General features: G+C 40.3%; 1 protein-coding gene across 98 annotated transcripts in view, besides 1 other annotated feature; it reads left to right on the top strand.

Annotated features, from left to right (window-relative positions):
• NRCAM (neuronal cell adhesion molecule) overlaps nucleotides 1-19547 on the top strand; it is a 309072-nt gene that overhangs the window by 94738 nt on the left and 194787 nt on the right. The gene's annotated exons all lie outside the window — the stretch shown is intronic.
• Nucleotides 14091-14291: a silencer, noted in NCBI's record as "peak6683 fragment used in MPRA reporter construct". NCBI's record gives its function as "represses an SCP1 promoter by STARR-seq MPRAs in K562 erythroleukemia cells {active_cell/tissue: K562}" and the evidence as "EXISTENCE:reporter gene assay evidence [ECO:0000049][PMID:32103011]".

Genomic DNA, 19547 nt, shown 5'->3' with positions numbered 1-19547 from the left:
TACGTTTTCAACTCAATTGAATAAATACCTGGGAGAAAAACTGCCGAATTACATGATTCTGTTTGTCAGGACTCTACAGAGAAGTAAGGCCAATAGGAGGTATAAATATATACGTATATAATACATATACGTATATACACATATGTAATACATATACATATATAATGCAAATACTTATACATTTCCACATATACATATATACGTACATTTACATATATAATAAAGAGATTTGGCTGGCTCACTCAATTGTGGAGACTGGCTCCCAGGATCTGCAGGATGAATTGGAAAGCTGGAGACCCAGGAGAGCTAATGATTTAGTTCTAGTCTGAGTCTAAAGGGTGGGAACCAGGAGAGCTGATGGTGTAATTTTGGTCTGAAGGCTGGCAAACTAGAGACCCAGGAAGAGCCAATGTTTCAGTTCAAGTCCAAAGGCAGAAAAAGTCAATGTCCCAATTCAAAAACTGTCAGACAGGAAGAATTCTAACTTGGGGGAGGGTCAGCCTCTTTGTTCAATTCAGGCCTTCAGTTGATTGATGAAGCCTGCCACATTAGGGAGGGCGATCGGCTTTACTCAGACTACTGATTTAAATGTTAATTTAATCCCAAAATATCCAGAAAAATGTTTGGCAAAATATCTGGGCACTCCATGGCCCAATCAAGCTGACATATAAAATTAACCATCATATATGGTAAGACTATGTTTAACTTTGTAAGGAACTGCCAAACTGTGTCATCTTCACCAGCATTTGAAATTGTCAATGTTTTGAATTTTAGCCATTCTAATAGATGTATATTGCATTTTACTATTTTAATTTTCAATGGCTTAAAAACAAATGATATTGAGCACCTTTTCATATGCTTATTTTCCATATGTGTATATTATTTTGTGAGGTCTCTAGTCATATATTTTGCCCCATATACAAATATTTTCTCTCTTTCTGTGCACTGTCTTTTCACTTTCATGATGATGTCCTTTGAAGTGCCAAAGGTTTTACTTTTCAGGAAGCCCAATATGAGTGTTATTTTCTTTTGTCACTTGTACTTTTGATGTCATATATAAAAAATGGTTTTCTAATCCATATTTTCTTCTAATAGTTTTATGGTTTTAGCTTTTATATTTAGGTCTGTGATCTGGTTTGAGTTAGTTTTTGTATGTGGCTTGAGGTAGGGTTCTAACTTCATTCTTTTGCAATGCAGGTTTCCACTTATCCCAACACCATTTGTTGAAAAAACTATTCTTTCTTCATTGAATTGTCCTGACACCCTTATCAACAATCAGTTGACCATAAATGTAAGGGTTTGTTTAGAGACTCTCAATTTTGTTTCATGGATTTATATGTCTACTCACAGCAGTGTCCACTGTCCTGACTGCTGCAGCTTTGAAGTAAGTTTCAAAATTAGGAAGTATGAATTCTTCAACTTTGTTCTGCTTTTTCAAACTTGTTTTGGCTATTCTGGGTCTCTTTTGTTTCACGTGAATTTTAGCCTTAGAAATATTTTAATCTTTGAAATCTGTCTGCTATTTCTGTTTTTCTCTTATATCCCCCACCCTGCAACCCCGGGTCATGTTCATTTGTATTTATTCCTGCTCCTTCATTTGAATGTACCTGTGCCTCTTTTTCAGGGCTGTTAATTTTCAGCAGTTAATTAATCTTGCTGAAAGTATCAGCTGATTAAGCCTAGGCCTTGCAGAGATTTTAACTGGGGAGGGTAAGTTTATAGTGATCTTTTTTTTCCCTTCTCACTTCTCCTTCTCTGTTTAATTGACTAGATTTGTAGCCTTCTACCTACTCCACTATTGTCTGAATCCAATCTCTTTGTACATTTCTACAGATAACCACTTCCCTGAAATATGCTGCTGAAATTACATTTACATTTTCAAAGGCCTCCATACAATAGAGCAGATTAATCATCCAAAGTACAGTTATAATCATATTATTTTTCCTGCTTAAAACATCTGGAACATGGATGAATCTAAAAACCATGTTGAGCGAAAGCAGCTAGAAACAAGAGCACATGTTATATGATAGCATTGTTATGAAGTTCAAGAACAGACAAAACTCATCTATAGGAATGAAATTCAGAACCTCGGTTGCCACTGGAGAATGGGAGGGGAGCAGATTTGAATGAGGCAAGAAGGAATTTTCTAGAGTGATAGAAATGTTCTATATCTTGATTGGAGCTACATGGTAACAGACATTTGTCACAGCTCATCAAACTGGACACTGAAGATCTGTACATTTTTCTGTTTGGAATTATACCTCCATTTTTTTTAGGTCGAAAATAAAAAAATTTTGGTTGCTAACCATTGCCTTCAGCTCAAATTCCCTAACTTGTTCATTCAGGGGTCTTTGAAAATCTGAGACCTAGATACCTTTCCAAGTTTCTCTTGTTATTTCGCTTCTATGCCCTGTGTTCCAGAAAAATGAGATTTTCTTTCTCACACGTGTTCCATATTTTTCCACTTCTGTGTTTTCTTTCACTTTTCTTTAGTTAGGAATGTCTTCCCATCTCCCATTGCCAATCACCAAGTGTCAAAATGATCTTCCTTCAAGTATCATATCAGAGGTCACCCTCCTTCTCTCAAACACCTGTCCTGGTAGCTTTTGTGTTTCTTTTATGGGACTCTTGACTTTCTCCTAGTTTTATTGTAATTATCTATGTTGCTATGTTTATAGTGCTCACAATGTGCCAAGCACTGTTTATGAACATCTGATTCCCACTTCGGTTACATTAAAGGCAAGACTTACATCTGCTTCATTTCTGTCTCCCATAGGACCTAGATAAGCATTGATTAAATGGATGGATGGATGAATGGATGAATAGATTGATGGATTGGAAGGTGTGGGGCAATGGGGAGGGAATATTGGTAAAAGAAAGCCATTTCAAAAACTCTAAAATAGCCTACATCCTACTTGTAAGGCTAGGATAAAAGGTGTAATGAACTAGACAAAATATGGTAGGAGGTGAGTATAACTCTGGTGGTTGTCAGCCAGGTCCTGAGCTTATAGACATATCTATGCAAATCTGAAAAGCATGACAACCCCTAGAATGATTCTTAAACAATTTCATGCAATCTGTTAAGTCATTTCCCCTGCTACAGCCCTTTAACTGCTGGGAGTTTTGTGATGTCCTCATCTGGCAGTGCCTTTAGACTTTGGCCTCAGGCAGAATTCCTGACCAGACATCTGCCGCATTCACATACCCAGAGGCAGTACTCAGTTCGTTTTGCTAATAGGGTAAACAAACTCCCCTTGACAGGAGGGAGTGACTTACAGTGTTCAGGGCATACGCTGGGGCTGAAGCAGCAGAGCGCCAGCAGTTATGCAGTTATTGTACTTGAAAGCCTGGCTCAGGCTTCAGAGATGCAAGCTTTCAGGAGGAGCTCTGTGCATTACCAGTCATGGGAATCTGTGTGTGAATGCATTAGACATCACCTGACATTGGCGAAGCTTCTGTATGAAACCTACCAACCTATCACCAACATCTCCCTACCTCTCTTTAAAAAGAAAAAAAAAAATACGTAGGAATACTGGGACAGTGGCAGGAAGTTTTGGGGGTTTTTTGGTTTTTGTTTTGAGACAAGGTCTTGCTCTGCCACCCAGGCTAGAGTGCAGTGGTATAACCACGGCTCACTGCAGCCTCGACCTCCCTGGCTCAAGCAATCCTCCCACCTTAGCCTCCCGAGTAGCTGGGACTACAGGCATGCACTGTCAGGCCTTTTTTTTTTTTTTTTTTGTAGAGAGGGGGTTTCACCATGTTGCCCAGGCTGCTCTTGAACTCCTGGGCTCGAGTGATCCTCCTGCCTTGGCCTCTCACAGTACTGGAAATACAGGTGTGAGCCGCCAGCTAGCCAGCAAGAAGCTTTAAGCCCTTAAAAAGCAAGTGTAGCTAAAGACCATTTGAGGGGAAAGGGAACATTTGTGGTTTTTAGCTTTGGCTTATGAAGATTTCAATCACAAGATTCTTCCCTGAGATTTTACACATTGTCAGGACAAGCCAATCCGTAGGGATGAAAGGGCTTCCCCACCCTCCCTACCATATGTAGTCTATTTAAGGTGAAGCGGGAGGCCTTGATGGCCAAAGGAGTAATGTTTTTAGCTTTATTCTTTCCCTCTCCAAATAGACCACCTTAGCAGATGGAGGGGAAAACCCAACTAGAGAAACTGTTTTTGTTAGAAATACTTAAGCCTAATTTAATCACCAATGGAGGTGCATTTACTGAAGATAGGAGAGAGAAAACAATGAGCCTTTCCACTCTGCATCCCCATGACATGTCTAATATAAATAGAATCTCTAAGACCAGCAAAAAGATAGAAGAGTTTACATTCATTAAAATGTTGGCCCCACTTGGCCGGGCCCGGTGGCTCACACCTGTAATCCCAGCATTTTGGGAGGCTGAGGTGGGTGGATCACCTGAGGTTAGGAGTTCAAGACCAGCCTGGCCAGTGTGGTGAAACCTTGTCTCTACTAAAAATACAAAAATGAGCCAGTCGTGGTGGCAGGCACCTGTAATCCCAGCTACTCGGGAAGCTGAAGCAGAATTGCTTGAACCCGGGAGGTGGAGGTTCCAGTGAGATGAGATCGTGCCATTGCACCCCAGCCTGGGGGACAAGAGCGAGACTTTGTCTCAAAAAAAAAAAAAAAAGTTGGCCCCACCTAACAAAAGAGTACTTTTTAATCCTCTCATGTTGTGAAATGATTTAGGGATAATGAAAATCTGAACAGAACTTTAAAAAAAAGACAATAAAACCAAAGCCCATGAAGTACATACTTTATGCTTACAATGTTGTTTGCAAAGTAAAGCTCCCAATGGAGACTTTTGCCCTCTTCTTTTCCTGCATCATGTCTTAGTTCAGGCTACTATAATAGAATATCATAGACTGGAAGGCTGGGAAGTCCAAGATCTGGGTGCTGTCAGATTCTGTGTCTGGTGAGGGTCCCCTTCCTGGTTTGCAGATAGCGGTCTTCTAGTTGTATCCTTGCATGGCAGAGAATACAGAGAAAAGAAGTGTGGTCCATTGTCTTTTCTTACGAAGGCACTAATTCCATCATGAAGGCTCCACTCTCATGACCTAAATACTTCCCAAAGGGCCCATCTCTTTGGGCCCACCTCAACCATCACGTTAAGGGTTGGGATTTCAACATATGAATTTTGGGGGTAACACAAAATAATGATGCCTTCATTATAGCAGAGGGCTCTGTAGGAGCTCCAGGCTGTGCTAAAATTGTCTTCTGACTTGGGTACCGTCAACCTCTATGGAGTTCTAATTCATTGTGTATGCTTTTTATAAACTAATATAAGTCAAGCCACCTGGCTCCTCTTTGGTCTACATAGCTGTATTTCGGCAGGCTGTAATAATTATTTTCTTAAAAAACAGTCTTTTTCTCTCTCTCAAAAAAAGAACAATTTTTTTATAGCTCCTCGTTAAACAGATTTTTAGGTTAGGCCACAGCCATGAACATCCTGCTGTTGGGACATTTGTAAAAAAGGTATACAGTAGCCCCCTCTTCTCTGTGGGGAATACATTCCAAGACCTCTAGTGGATGCCTGAAACTGCAGATAGTACTGAACCCTATATACACTGTTTTACCCTATTCATAAATACCTATAGTAAGATTTAATTTATAAATTAGGAACAGTAAAAGATTAATAATAATAGAACAATTATAACAGCATACTGTAATAAAAATTATGTGAATGTGGTCTTTCTGTCTCTTAAAATATCTTATTGTGGCTGGGCACAGTGGCTTATGCCTGTAATCCCAGCACTTTGGGAGGCCAAGGCAGGCAGATCACGAGGTCAGGAGTTCGAGACCAGCCTGGCCACTATGGTGAAACCCTGTCTCTACTAAAACTACAAAAATTAGCCAGATGTGGTGGTACATGCCTGTAGTCCCAGCTACTCAGCAGGGTGAGGCAGAAGAATCGCTTGAACCTGGGAGGCAGAGGTTGCAATGAGCCGACATGGTGCCACTACACTCCATCCTCCAGCTTGGGCAACAGAGCGAGACTCCATCTCAAAAAAAAAAAAAAAATCTTACTGTACTGTATTACTGTATTCACCCTTCTTGTGATGATGTGAGTTGATAAAATACCTACGTGATGTGATGAAGCGAGGTGAGTAACGTAGGCATTGTGATGTAGCCACAGATTATCATTGCCCTTTTGGCCATACCTCAGAATGGTGATCATCTGCTTTGACTGATCTTGGATCATGGAGTCATGATGATGGTTGGATGTCAAGAATAGATCATATAAATGACTAACATGGTGGTAGAGCCTACAGCACAGTACAGTGGACAAAGGGAAGACTCATTTGCCAGGTGAGATGGTGCAGGTCAGCACAGAGTTTCATCATGTTGCTCAGAATGACATGCCATTTAAAACCTATGGATTATTTCTGGAACTTTCCATTTAATAATTTCAGACCATAGTTGATGACATGGATAAGCTGGGGGTACTATTGTATACATCATTTTTTCTCTTTGTACTTGGGCTTCTAGCTGATATCTTTATAAATCATACAGCATCTTTCATCCCCTTGTACTTTGTATATTACTCAGGTGATCTGTAAATGTGTTATTATTATTTTAAAAATGTAATTCATAATTACATAGACAAGAAATAAAAGTTCTTCACTTCTGTTGCCCACGTCTTCTTTAAACTTATGCTCCTCACCAGGGATAACAAGTATTCTCAATTTCACATCTGTTCTTTCAGACCTTTTCTTAATCTTTCCATCATATTTGCACATTTAGAGATCCATGGTCCCTTTGCTCTTTAATATGTGTTTTAGAATCAATTTATCCAATTTCATGGAAAAATTACATGGGACTTTGGAATTGAATGAATTTATAGATTAATTTGGAGATAACTGATATCTTTATGATAATAAGGCTTCAATTCTTATCAAGGAGCAGAGCTCTCTAAAACCCTTCAATAAAAGTTTATAATTTTCTACACAATAGGTTTGCGCATCTTTCATTATATTTATTCCTGGATAGTTTGTATGTTGTATTATTTTAGTTTACATTTATAACAGTTTGTTAGTGATATACAGAAGTGAAATTGCTTTTTTTTTTTTGAGACAGAGTTTCGCTCTTGTTGCCCAGGCTGGAGTGCAGTGGCATGATCTCAGCTCACTGCAACCTCTGCCTCCTGGGTTCAAGCGATTCTCCTGCCTCTGCCTCCCGAGTAGCTGGGATTATAGGCACCCACCACCACGCCCAGCTAATTGTGTACTTTTAATAAAGACGGGGTTTCTCCATGTTGGTCAGGCTGGTCTGGAACTCCTGACCTCAGGTGATCCACCCACCTTGGCCTCCCAAAGTGCTGGGATTACAGGCATGAGCCACCACGCCCAGCCTGAAATTGCTTTTTAAATGTTGTTCTTATCCAGCATAATTGCTAAATCTCTATGAATTCTATCTATATGTCTATAGATGCTCTTGAGTTTTCTTTGCAGCTAATCATAATGTCTGAATATTTATGGTTTTGACTGCCTCTTAATTTCATTATTTCTACCTTTAATTCCTTTTATCTTACCTGCCTTTAGTTGAGTAGAAGTAGTGATAATGGGCATCCTTTTCCTGTTCTTGATTTTAACATGTCACTCTAAACTGGGATGTTTACTGTAAGTTTTTGATAAATGTCTTTTATTAGGCTAAGATAATGAGTAGTCACTTCGAATGAGTATTTAATGAAGGAGCATGTAGTTGTTCCCCTTTAATTCTTTTGTATGGTGAATTGCTTTAGTATATTTTGTAATGTTAAACCATTTATATATTTCTTGGAAATCCTATTTATATTTATACATTTTTGCATTGTTGGATATTTCCTTGTTGGATAATTCATATATAGTGGAATTGGGAGCTAGACTTAAGGGCTAAGGTAACTGGTGGCTGGATGATTCTGTGATTTATTTTCAAGGATTCTCTGATTTATATAAGAAATTGGGAAGGACATGTATGTGATAACTAGAGAGAGAAAACTAAAACTTTAAAACATTAAACGACCAATCCAACATCACACTTGGACTCATGTGGAGTGGTTGTACTTACCACTTACTAGTGTATGAACCCAATGTTCCTCTGTGCAATGGAGATTATAATGGTCCTGGTCTCATGAAGTTGCTAGAGATCAAAAGCAACATTGCTTGTAAAGTGCTTTGCACAATGCCTAGCACATGGTGGAAAACTCATTCATGTATTCATTTATTCTTTCAACAAATAATTGTACACCTGCCATGTGTTCTAAGAGCTGGGGACATAGCATAAAATAAGAAGAGGTCTTTCTTTTCATGAAGACTTTATTCTAGTAGCAAGGAACAGACAATAAATCATACAGAAGAAAATGGAAGGCCAGGTGCAGTGGTTCATGCCTGTAATCCCTGCACTTCAGAAGGTTGAAGCGGGAAGATTGCTTGAGCCCAGGAGTTCAAGACCAGCCTAGGCAACATAATGAGAGCCCGTCTCTCTAAAAAAAATTTAAAATTATCTGGGTGTGGTGGCACATGCCTGTAGCTCTAACTACTCCAGGAGTCTAAGGTGGGAGGATCACAATCACACCACTGCATTCCAGCCTGGGTGACAGAGTGAGACCCTGTCTCAAAATAAAAATAAAAATAATTAAAAAAGGAAAGAAGAAGAAAGAAGGAAGAAAGAAGAAAGAAGAAGAAAAATACATCAGTGACAGGATTTAGGATTCTAAAATGGAAGTGGCATAACCTGGTTTATATTTTAAAGACATCATTCTGGTGCTCAGTGTAGAAAAGGATACAGAAGGCCAACACAGCACTGGAAGCAGCTAGGAGGTTGTTATGATGTTCAAGACAAGAAACAAGAAGAATTATCTCTGAGAAGTATGATCAGGGTTGGCCATGGGAAGAGAGGTATTTCTGTAATGTTTGGATTTTTTTTTTTTTTTTACAATGAGCACATGTCACTCGTATAATTTAAAAAAATACATGTGTGGGAAAAAAATAGTGGCTTGGTGTAAAGTGGCATGCAGGCTTAGAGAGAAATGAATAGGTTTGGAATATATTTTGAGGCATAATCAATGAGATTTACTGATGAATTAGAGGTATTGGTGAGTGTTAGGGTTTTTTTAAACTTATATTTTATAGCTATTTGTGGCTACTGTAGATAAATGGTTTGGGGAAAAGAGAACAATTCAGGACTCTTAGCTTTATGGTTCAAACAACTGGGTCATGCTATTGACTGAAATGAGGATGTTTAAGGAAGGAACAGATTTTTTTCCCCCAAGTGGGAATGAAAGTTGATTTTCAGGAAAAATTAACCACCATTATTCTGTTGATATTTGTCAAGTAAAACATTGTCGTAACAATTTTACAAAATAAGTAAAAAACATTTCTGTATGTGGTTATTTTTTATAGCAATTCCCAAGAATGTTATTTGAAAAAATCTTTTTCCTCCATAGAATTGTAAATCAATTTACAAAAACACAGGCAGAGCAACCTTTCCAGCATCCAGGCAGACCTGATACTCCGTATTTACTTTCTTTAGTAGTTCTGATATTGGCCAACCAAATCTCACTTTTGAAGGAAAATGTTCTTTGACTTAAACACAGAACACTGTTCAGTAGCTCTTTGATTAGATTATGCATAAAAATTATGTGTATGCCACTCACTGGAGATTAAGTAATTAAGATGCTCTTAATATTGCTGGGGAAACATTACAACCCTCATTATTTTAATGGACTGGTGGACTCCAGGGACTTGCCAATAGGATGCAATATCTTGCATTCCAAGTTAGCAAAATACACAATTTTGACTGGCAACCTAAATTTGTAAGCTTTTGATGAGCTGTGTAGAAATAAGTCATCTCAGGTCAATTCTTAGAGGAAGGAATATTCTTAAAATAATAATAATACTTTGTATAATGGTGGCTTTGTTGTTAGTGCTACTCAGGCATTAAGGACTCTGCAGTCAGGGAGTGAGTGGTCTTTTCATCTCTGCTTTGAGAGGGGTCCCCAAGGCCCTAAGGCACTCTCAGGGCAACAGCACAGATGTCTCTGCATTCTGTGAGATTGTCTTTTAGTAGCCTTGCTATGGATGACTAATGGGTCTGTACAAACAACATAATTGCACTGTAGTGTTTGCACTGGAAATGCAAAAAGACAAATATTTTCTTTTGTTAAATGTGTATTTCATCATGTTTCAAAAATATCCTTAGCCAGCTTACTTAAAAAAAAAAAGTGGTCAATATGACCTGCTCTACAATCATGAGTTACAATTCTTGTTTCATCTTAATAAATCTCTAGTTAATTATTTAAGGCTGTCATCTTAGCAGTAAGTCCAGTATCTCCCTCCATGGGTTCAGCCCTCCTTCTCCTGAGTTGTCAAAAAGACAGTGAAATAAATATGACATTTTAGGTTCTCCAATCCCAAAGCCTATCCCAAATCTTATACTCAGTGGAGAGAGCCCTGATCCAATCAGTCCAATAGTGCTGTTGCTTCTTGCATCTACCAGTGTTGCCTCCTGGCCCTCCAGAGTTTGGTGATGAAGCTAGTCTGTTCTGTAAGGGACCTCCATGACCCATGTCTCTGGGGAGTAAGTTGTGGCTGTTGAAGAGAGGTGATACTATCACCTTTTCTTAGACCATTTTGTGTTGCTATAATAGAATACCTGAGACTGGGTAATTTATAAAGAACAAAGACTTACAGGTTTGGAGCCTAGGAAGTCCAAGGTCAAGGGGCCTGCATCTGGTAAAGGCCTTCTTTCTGTGTTATCCCCTGGCAGAAGGCAGAAGGGCAAGAGAGAGGAGGGGGGCCAAACTCATCCCTTTATCAGAATCCCACTCCCAAGATAATATCACTAATCTAGTCACATAATTAGCTCTTTAAGGTCCCACTTGTCAGCAGTGTTGCATTGGGGATTAGGTTCCAACACATGAACTTTGGGGAACATATTCAAATCGTAGCACCCCTCAATTCCACATTCAATCAAATATTTTTATAAAGCAACTATTCTGTGCTAGGCTCTGTTCAGCATATGAGGGACATTCCCAAGAATTAAGAATGAAACAGACAAACTTGTGTATATAACATATATACTATTGGGGATCCCAATCAACAAGTACCCAAATTTATGTAAGATCATGAAAAGAAAGATGCTGCCAACTAAATTATGACAAGCTGTCTACTGGAAATTGATTCTGATTTCAAATATGTTAAATCATTTAAAAAGATAGAAGGAAAGAAAGAAGAAGAAAAAAAAGAAAAACAATAAGTTAAGGTGGATTATCCCCAAAACAAACTCTGAGATGAGCATTTGAGTGCAAGTAATTTTTTTTGGAGGCACCAACAGGGGAGTGGGTATGTGAGACAAAAAATAAAGAAAGACAGTCAGGGCAAAATAATGAAAGGTAACCACTGTGGGCAACTGGTAACCAATCCTACTGCAAGCTTCGGGAGGTGGTTTAGAATGTGTCTCAATATTGTCCCACCCAAGTGGTTAAGGCAGCTGGGATATTTATATACAAACTGCCATTGGTCATTGACTGAGACATCAACTCAGCCAATGTGTCAGCTCCTAGTTCTTCAGGCCTATCCTCGCACCTAGGCTGAGCACTCCAGGAAAACCTGATGAGTAAAGAGTCACAGATACTTACAGAGAAGGAAGCCATCACTGTTCCCAGAAGGATGAGTCCCAAGGGGATCCCAGAGGAACACTGATAATGTCTATCACCATGAGCATCTTAGGATGGTTGAACAGTGAGTTTAGATGATAAATAAACACCAGAGTAAGGTTATGGAGGTGAAAGCAGGAACGCCATTTCAGAGAGTATAGAGGGAACATTTGAGAAAGTGACATTTGAGCAGAAACCTGAATGTTGAGGATTGAAGCATAGGTATATCTGAGGGAAGGCTCTCCAGTGGAAGGAATAGCTGGTGTAAAGGCCCTGAGACAGGAGAGAATTTGATAGATTCAGGGAACTAAAGGAGCCATTTTGGGTGAAGCGTGATCACCGATGTGAGGAAAGGTAGGGAATGCCTTTGATCACATAGAAAAGAACCCAGTCATGTAGAACTTAGCCATGACAAGGAATTCAGATTTTATTTTGGATATTATGTGATGCTATTAGAGGGTTTTGAACAGTATGTATAATCTGTTTCTGTTTTAAATGATCGCTATGACCTCGGTGTAGGGATAAGGGTGGAAACAAGGAGATGGGTCAGAGACTATTGTGCTTTAAAGCAGGGAAATAGAAATATCACAGTAAGAAACGTCATATTGTGAGGGGGAGTGCTTCCTATTTATTCAAAAGTGGTATCAAACCATTAATAATGTTCTTTTTAATAATAAAAAGATGAAATACACATTATAGTAAATAAGATCTAAAAATAGGCTGGCTCCTTGACTAAGAACAAGATTTAAGAGTTCATAACTAAGCCAGGCACGGTGGCTCATGCCTGTAATCCCAGCACTTTAGGAGGCTGAGGCAGGTGGATCACAAGGTGAGGAGATCAAGACCTTCCTGGCTAACACAGTGAAACCCCGTCTCTACTAAAAATACAAAAAATTAGCAGGGCGTGGTGGCAGGCGCCTGTAGTCCCAGCTACTCGGGAGGCTGAGGCAGGAGAATGGTGTGAACCCAGGATGAGGAGCTTGCAGTGAGCCGGGATCATGCCACTGCACTCCAGCCTGGGTGACAAAGTGAGACTCCGTCTCAAAAAAAAAAAAAGAGTTCATAACTACACAAATTTAAAGAGCAGTAACAAGAATAGTGACTTAAATAAGTGAAGTCAAAACTGCTGAGAGGCTCAGAGCAGTAATAACAATACAACCAACCTAAAACTTGGCAAACCAGTGCTCTCTTTGGTCAGTTTCTAGGCTGTAGTCACACTCTATTACTCATCAGCCCAATTGTGAAATCCTTGGAAAAATAATGTCGATCATACTTAGGTTTTTGTACATAGAGATTTTACACAGCGCATCACATAGCAAAACTTCCCTAAATCCTGTCTTGCCAATACATTCCCCCCCATCCTGATAGCTCATACATTCCTTGGCTGCCCCTAAAGACTTTCCTTCCTTTTTTTTTTTTTTTTTCCTGAGATGGAGTCTCACTCTGTCACCCAGGCTAGAGTGCAGTGGCACGATCTCGTCTCACTGCTTCCTCCACTTCCTGGGTTTTCCAGTGATTCTCCTGCCTCAGCCTCCCGAGTGGCTGGGACTACAGGGCCCAGCTATTTTTTGTATTTTTAGTGGAGATAAAGTTTCACCATATTGGCCAGGCTAGTCTCGAACTCCTGACCTCCAGTGATCCACTTGCCTCGGCCTCCCAGAGTGTTGGAATTATAGGCATGAGCTGCTACGCCCGGCCCCAATTCTTATTTTCTGCAAACTCTGCCTCAAAAATCAAGCCCAGGGAGCCTTTCCCCCTCATTTAATACCCTAGTAACTTTTTAAATGCTATTTTTGCCTTTGATCCTCTCCTGCAGCACACTGTTCCCTAAAATACTCCTTTTATCCTGTCAGTCCTCTAAATAAGATCTTTCTGAAGCTCCTGTTCCCTGCCCAAGGATAACAGCCAATCTCCTTACTTGGCAGATAAGGCTTATTTCTGACTCCTCCCTCACAACCCCCAGGCTCAGCCTAACAGAACTTGTCAAGCTCTGAACATACCTTGTTGTTACCTACTCTGGGTCTTTGCCCTGGCTCTGCCCCTCCTCTGAAATTTATCACTGTGTCTCCCACACATATATTCACTCACTCACACACACATGCATGCACATCTCTACCCACAAGAAAATCACATCTTAAATCTATCTTTTTCTCAAATTTATTCCCTGCCCAGCAAAGGAGATACGACACATCACAAAGTAGCACAGTTACATGTATTACGTAGACATTTATTCATTTTTTGAGTGCCTACTTCTTACCTGCGTATTTGGGGCACAAAGATGAATACAGAATGCTGTTCTAGCCTCAAGGAGCTCCATCCTGTGGGACAGATGAATGTATAAATATACCCTCCTAGAACATGGTGAGTGCAGTGATTGGGATGTGCACAGAGTATGGGGGTGGAGAGGAGGCGGGTTTAGGCAGAGTAAATAAAGCAGGGCAGGGCTAAGGTGGAGGGGTTCAGTTCACTGGCTGGGGAACAGAGTCTGAGCTCAACCAAAGACAGGTCTCAGGACCAAGGAGAGCGCTTTGTGTAGCCAGCCTTGAGGCATTCCTCACATTTTTGGGAAGCTGCTCAAAACATTCTGCAAGGCCCTCATAGGCAAAAGATTCTCACTTAAAGGAACCCCTCATCAGGCATATCCTGGATCCCTTTGAGTTAGGAAAATACAACTTCCACTCCTGAATTGCAGGGTTTAGGGATTATTAGTTAAGGAATATATACATCCTTAGAAGGATTTTTTTGGGGATCAAATCCTCAGGGGATGGTTCTCATTCTGAATTTGAAATGGAATCCAGGACTTTATTTTATTGGGATTTTCTTTCTCTGCTTTTGAGGGATTGGAGCCTAGGTAAATTCTGATTAGCCTAGACAGAGTTTATCTCCATAGCTTCTTTTACTGCTCACCTGGCCCCTGTGATGTTATTTATGAATGCCTTACTTCCTTGAGATACATTGTAAATTTCTACAGCAGCACAGTCTAACAGAAATATAAGCCGGGCGCGGTGGCTCACGCCTATAATCCCAGCACTTTGGGAGGCCGAGGCGGGTGGATCACAAGGTCAGGAGATCGAGACCATCCTGGCTAACACGGTGAAATCCCATCTCTATAAAAATACAAAAAATTAGCCAGGCATGGTGGCAGGCGCCTGTAGTCCCAGCTACTTGGGAGGCTGAGGCAGGAGAGTGGCATGAACCCGGGAGGCAGTGCTTGCAGTGAGCCGAGATTGCACCACTGCACTCCAGCCTGGGCGACAGAGCAACAGTCTGTCTCAAAAAAAAAAAAAAAAAAAAAAACAGAAATATAATATGAGTCACATATGTAATTTTAAATTTTCTAGTAGATATATTTTTAAACAGTAAAAAGAAATAGGTGAAATTAATTTTAATGTTTATTGTTTAACCCAATAAATCTAAAGTGTTAAACATATGATGAATATTAAACAATTAATGAGGTAGCTCATATTCTGCTTTTTTCCTACTAAATCTTCAAAATCCAAACATGTATGTACTCATGTAGTTTCAATACAGACCAGCCACATTTCACGGGCTTAATTGCCACCTGTGGTTAGTGATTACTGGATTGGACAGCATGCTCTAGATGTTAGAGAGCCTGTCTGTACCCTGGCTCCAGGTTTTCTGCCACTTAATCTTCCCAAATCTCATGCATATTGGCCAGAAAAATACCATCACTGTAAGAGGTGACATTAAACCCAGCACTTTTTGTCCTCTATTTACAATAGAGTAGGAGGTAGGATAAAAGAATGTTTAAGTCTCAAAATAAACCTGTATATTATTATTTTCTTAAATTAGCCTAATGGAATTAACCAGCTAATTAACCATGTAGTGAGTAGAAATATGGAGTAATGCATGATGACAGAATAGCCTATACAGAAGTGTTTAATAACGAAGATGGCTAATACTGGATAATATACTTCAACATGCAAAAACATTTTAACATGTAAAAAAGCATACTGTGTTGGGAGGAAAAAGAGCCCTGGAAATCAGGAGACTCAAATAATTTTAGTCTTGCCAGTAGTTAAATTTCGATTCTTAAACAAGAAAATTAATCTGTCTAGCCCAAAGTTTCGTCATCCGTAAAATAACGGATTGGATGTGATATCTCAAAATTCCTCCCACTCCTCCTAAATTGTGTTGACACTGCCTCTTAAGTAAATCCCACAGTCATTGTCTCCTCGCCACCCCCACTGCCTGCCTTGAAGCCTGCATAATTTCTTACCTGAGCTACCACAGCTAGTCTCCGTAGCAACTTCTCAAATCTGTCCCCCACACAGCCATCGAAGAAACCTTTCTAAATAAAAATTGGATCATCTCATGCTTAATGCCCATCAGAGGCTCCTACAGCCCACAGCAGTTGGCATGGCTTGCTTTTATCTGCTCTCTGCCATCGACTCCTGGGCTCCCCCACAGACACCCATTGTTCTAGGCCTGCTAGACTTGTGCAGCTTGCAGCGTATGACAAAGCTTTTGGACTGCCTTAATTCACTCAGGCTGCTGTAGCAAAGTGCTATTGACTGGGTGGCTTAAACAATAGAAACTTATTTCTCACAGTTTTGGAAGGTAGGGAGTCCAAGACCAAGATGTCAGCTGGTGGGGTTCCTGGTGAAGGCCCTGTTCCTGGTTTGCAGATGGCCAGCTTGCTGTATCCTCATATGGTGGAGAGCTCACCTCTGTCATGTCTTTTCTTATATGGCCATTAATCCCATCATGAAGACTCCACCCTCATGACCTAGTTATGTCCCAAAGGCTGCTCCTCTGAATACTATCACATTGAAGATTAGGGTTTCACTATATGAATGTGGGGGGAGGACACAAAGAGTTCATAGCAAGATTTTGAGGATATTTAGATCAATCTCAAGGTAGAAGTTGCTCTTATAAACACTATTTTGTAATGATATGCCTGCCATTTTTGAACCGCTTTAATATTTAGATAGGTTTTCCTTATTTCTAGACAAAACACTTCCCATGGGATTTTGGGAACTTACTGCCAGATTTGATATTTGTAATTACCTAGACAATCATCTTACTGAATAACTGAGGAACCTTTCTGAGTTGAGTAACTTGCCAGCATTACACAGTTCACTAAGGTTCAAAGATGAACCTGGAACCCAGACTTTCTGTTCTCATTCCAGGCCTCTTTTATGTCCATATATAATATACACAGTAAAACAATCAATTTTCCTATTTGAATTCACTTCATCATTCCACTATTTCTTTATAAAATATTGAATTTATCAGGGACCCACATTCTTTATCCCCTGTTCATCAGGTCCTGCTAATTTGTTTCAGTAAAACTTCCACAGATTGAGTTGAATCCTATTCTATTGATAGAGTCAGAAGCAAGCCTTCCTTCTTATCTTCTCCCTCCCCCTTATCCTTGACTTCATATAATGAAAGGCAGCAAGAATGATGCCCTAATTTCTAAAATGTATTTTTGTTTGGAAATAAGGTTAGGACATTATTGCCCATACTAGGCAATTGTCTCTATGTACTTTTTTTCTCAACTATGAAGTAAGAAATATAAGCTAAATAATTCCTGTGGTTTCTCCCACTATAAAATTTCTATCTATACCCAATAGCTCCTAAAATGGTACATTTCATGTAATAGTCATTTAATAAATACTTAGGGAATTGGTATTTAATGGGACAGAATGTCAGTATGGAGTATAAACAGTTCATTGAACTTTATTATTAATTGCTCACTTTGGGAGAGTAGTACGTGCTGTTACTCTTCATAGCAGCAAAAAATGAGTTATGGAAATATTAGACGTGTTAACCAGTTTTTCATTTTGGTTTGGTTTTTGCAGGGGTTTTTTTTCAGTTGCAAGATTTAATAGAGTGAAAACAGAGCTCCCATGCAAAAGGAGGGGACCCGAAGAGCATAGCCATTGCCAGCTCGAATGCCTGGGTTTATATCCCGATCATTGTCCCTCTCACTGTGCTCTCAGGCGATAGATGATTGGCTATTTCTTTACCTCCTATTTTTGCCTAATTAGCATTTTAGTGAGCTCTCTTTACTACCTGATTGGTCGGGTGTGAGGTAAGTTGCAAGCCCCGTGTTTAAAGGTGGTTGCAGTCACCTTCCCAGCTAGGCTTAGGGATTCTTAGTTGGCCTAGGAAATCCAGCTAGTCCTGTCTCTCAGTACCCCCTCTCAACAGGAAAACCCAAATGCTGTTGGGGAGGTTGGCCGATGACCGCTCCAACTGCTTCCTGCTGAATTGGGGCATAGTAGGGGTGGTGCAGTTGAGATTTCCTCAGGAGGGTTGCCTTTGGTGTCATTAACATCAGAGCATGGGCTAGCAGGCCAGTCCAGGGGTCCATGGTAGATCTTAGTCATGGACTGCCTCTGGGGATCCATTTGAAGAACGATGTGTAGTTTTACAGCTTTGATTCTGGAACAGACAAACTTAACAAGGAGGTTAAAGATACAGGGATTGAAATGTATGGTGATTGAAATGTATGGTGTGTAGTGTAGGGGATTATTTCATTGGCACACTTTACAGGCCCTGACTATATCTGCTTGATAGTTTTGAAAAGGCCTGGTCTAGTAAATAATGATTTGGTCATCTAATGGGTGTTATCAGTGCCTAAGTGAAAGGTTTGATGAAGGGTTTTAAGTAATTTCCATTGGTTAGCTGCAGGCAAAAGTATTTTTCCTTCTTTGGTGGCTAGCCATCCTGAGGGGAGGAAACTATGTCCTCATGAGGTTCCCCATTCTATTTCTTCTTTTGAGTACTGGGGCTTGGTTTCCCAGAGGGGATTACCACATACTAGGGGTCCTTCTATAAGCATTTCTAATGGAGGGTCCTGCCTTGCAGCTCTTTTTGCTTCAATGTCCGCTTGGCAGTTCCCTTCTATTTCCCTTTCCTTTCCTTTCTGATGACCCCAGCAGTGTAAGACTGCCACCTCTTTAGGTTTCTGTACCGCCAATAATAATCTCCTAATGGCTTCCTGATGTTTGATAGGTGTTCCCTCGGAAGTTAGGAATCCCCTTTCTCTCCATATTGCTGCATGGGCATGGAGGACTAGGTAAGCATACTTAGAGTCTGTATATATATTTACCCTTTTTCCTTCTAATTCTACTGCCTGAATGAGGGCTATTAGTTCTGCCAGCTGAGCACTAGTTCCTGGAGTGAGGGGATTACTTTCAAGTATTCCATTATCACTGACAACTGCATACCCCACTTTTTGAAGCCCTTTTTCTACGAAGGAACTTCCATCAGTATACAAGTTGAGGTCGGGATCAGTCAGGGGAACCTCTAAAAGGTCCCCTTGAGTGGCGTAGGTTTGAACAATTACTTGTTGACAGTTATGTTATATCTTTTCTTCATTGCCTGGAAGAAATGTGGCTGGGTTAAGAGTTGCACAAGTGCACAGTCGCAGCACTGGTCCTTCAAGCAGTAGAGCCTGATATTTAAGTAAACGGTTGTCTGACAGCCACAAGTCTCCTTTAGCAGTGAGTATGCCATTCACATCATGAGATGTCCACACAGTAAGATCTCTTTCCTGTATTACTTTAACTGCTTCAGATACTAAGACTGCTACTGCCGCCACTACCTGTAAACAATGAGGCCAACCCTTTGCCACTACATCAGTTTCCTTACTCAGGTATGCCATGGGTTGCAGGCTTGTCCCTTGGACCTGTGTAAGGACTCCTAGAGCTATTTCTGTTTTTTCTGTGACATATAAAGGAAAGTCTTGCCCCGTTGGCAAGCTTATTAACACTGGGGCTTGGGTTAGGGCCTTCTTCAGGGCCTGGAAAGCCGCTTCTGCTTCAGGTGTCCATCTTACTAAATGGGTATTGGCTTTCTGAGTTTCCTAAATTAGTGTATATAATGGCCTAGCTATTTCGCCGTACCTGGGAATCCATAT

Source organism: Homo sapiens, chromosome 7 (assembly GCF_000001405.40).
Source record: "Homo sapiens chromosome 7, GRCh38.p14 Primary Assembly".
NCBI classification, from domain to species: domain Eukaryota; kingdom Metazoa; phylum Chordata; class Mammalia; order Primates; family Hominidae; genus Homo; species Homo sapiens.
Note: the sequence above shows the minus strand (reverse complement) of the source record. Positions and strands in the feature narration are given on the sequence as shown.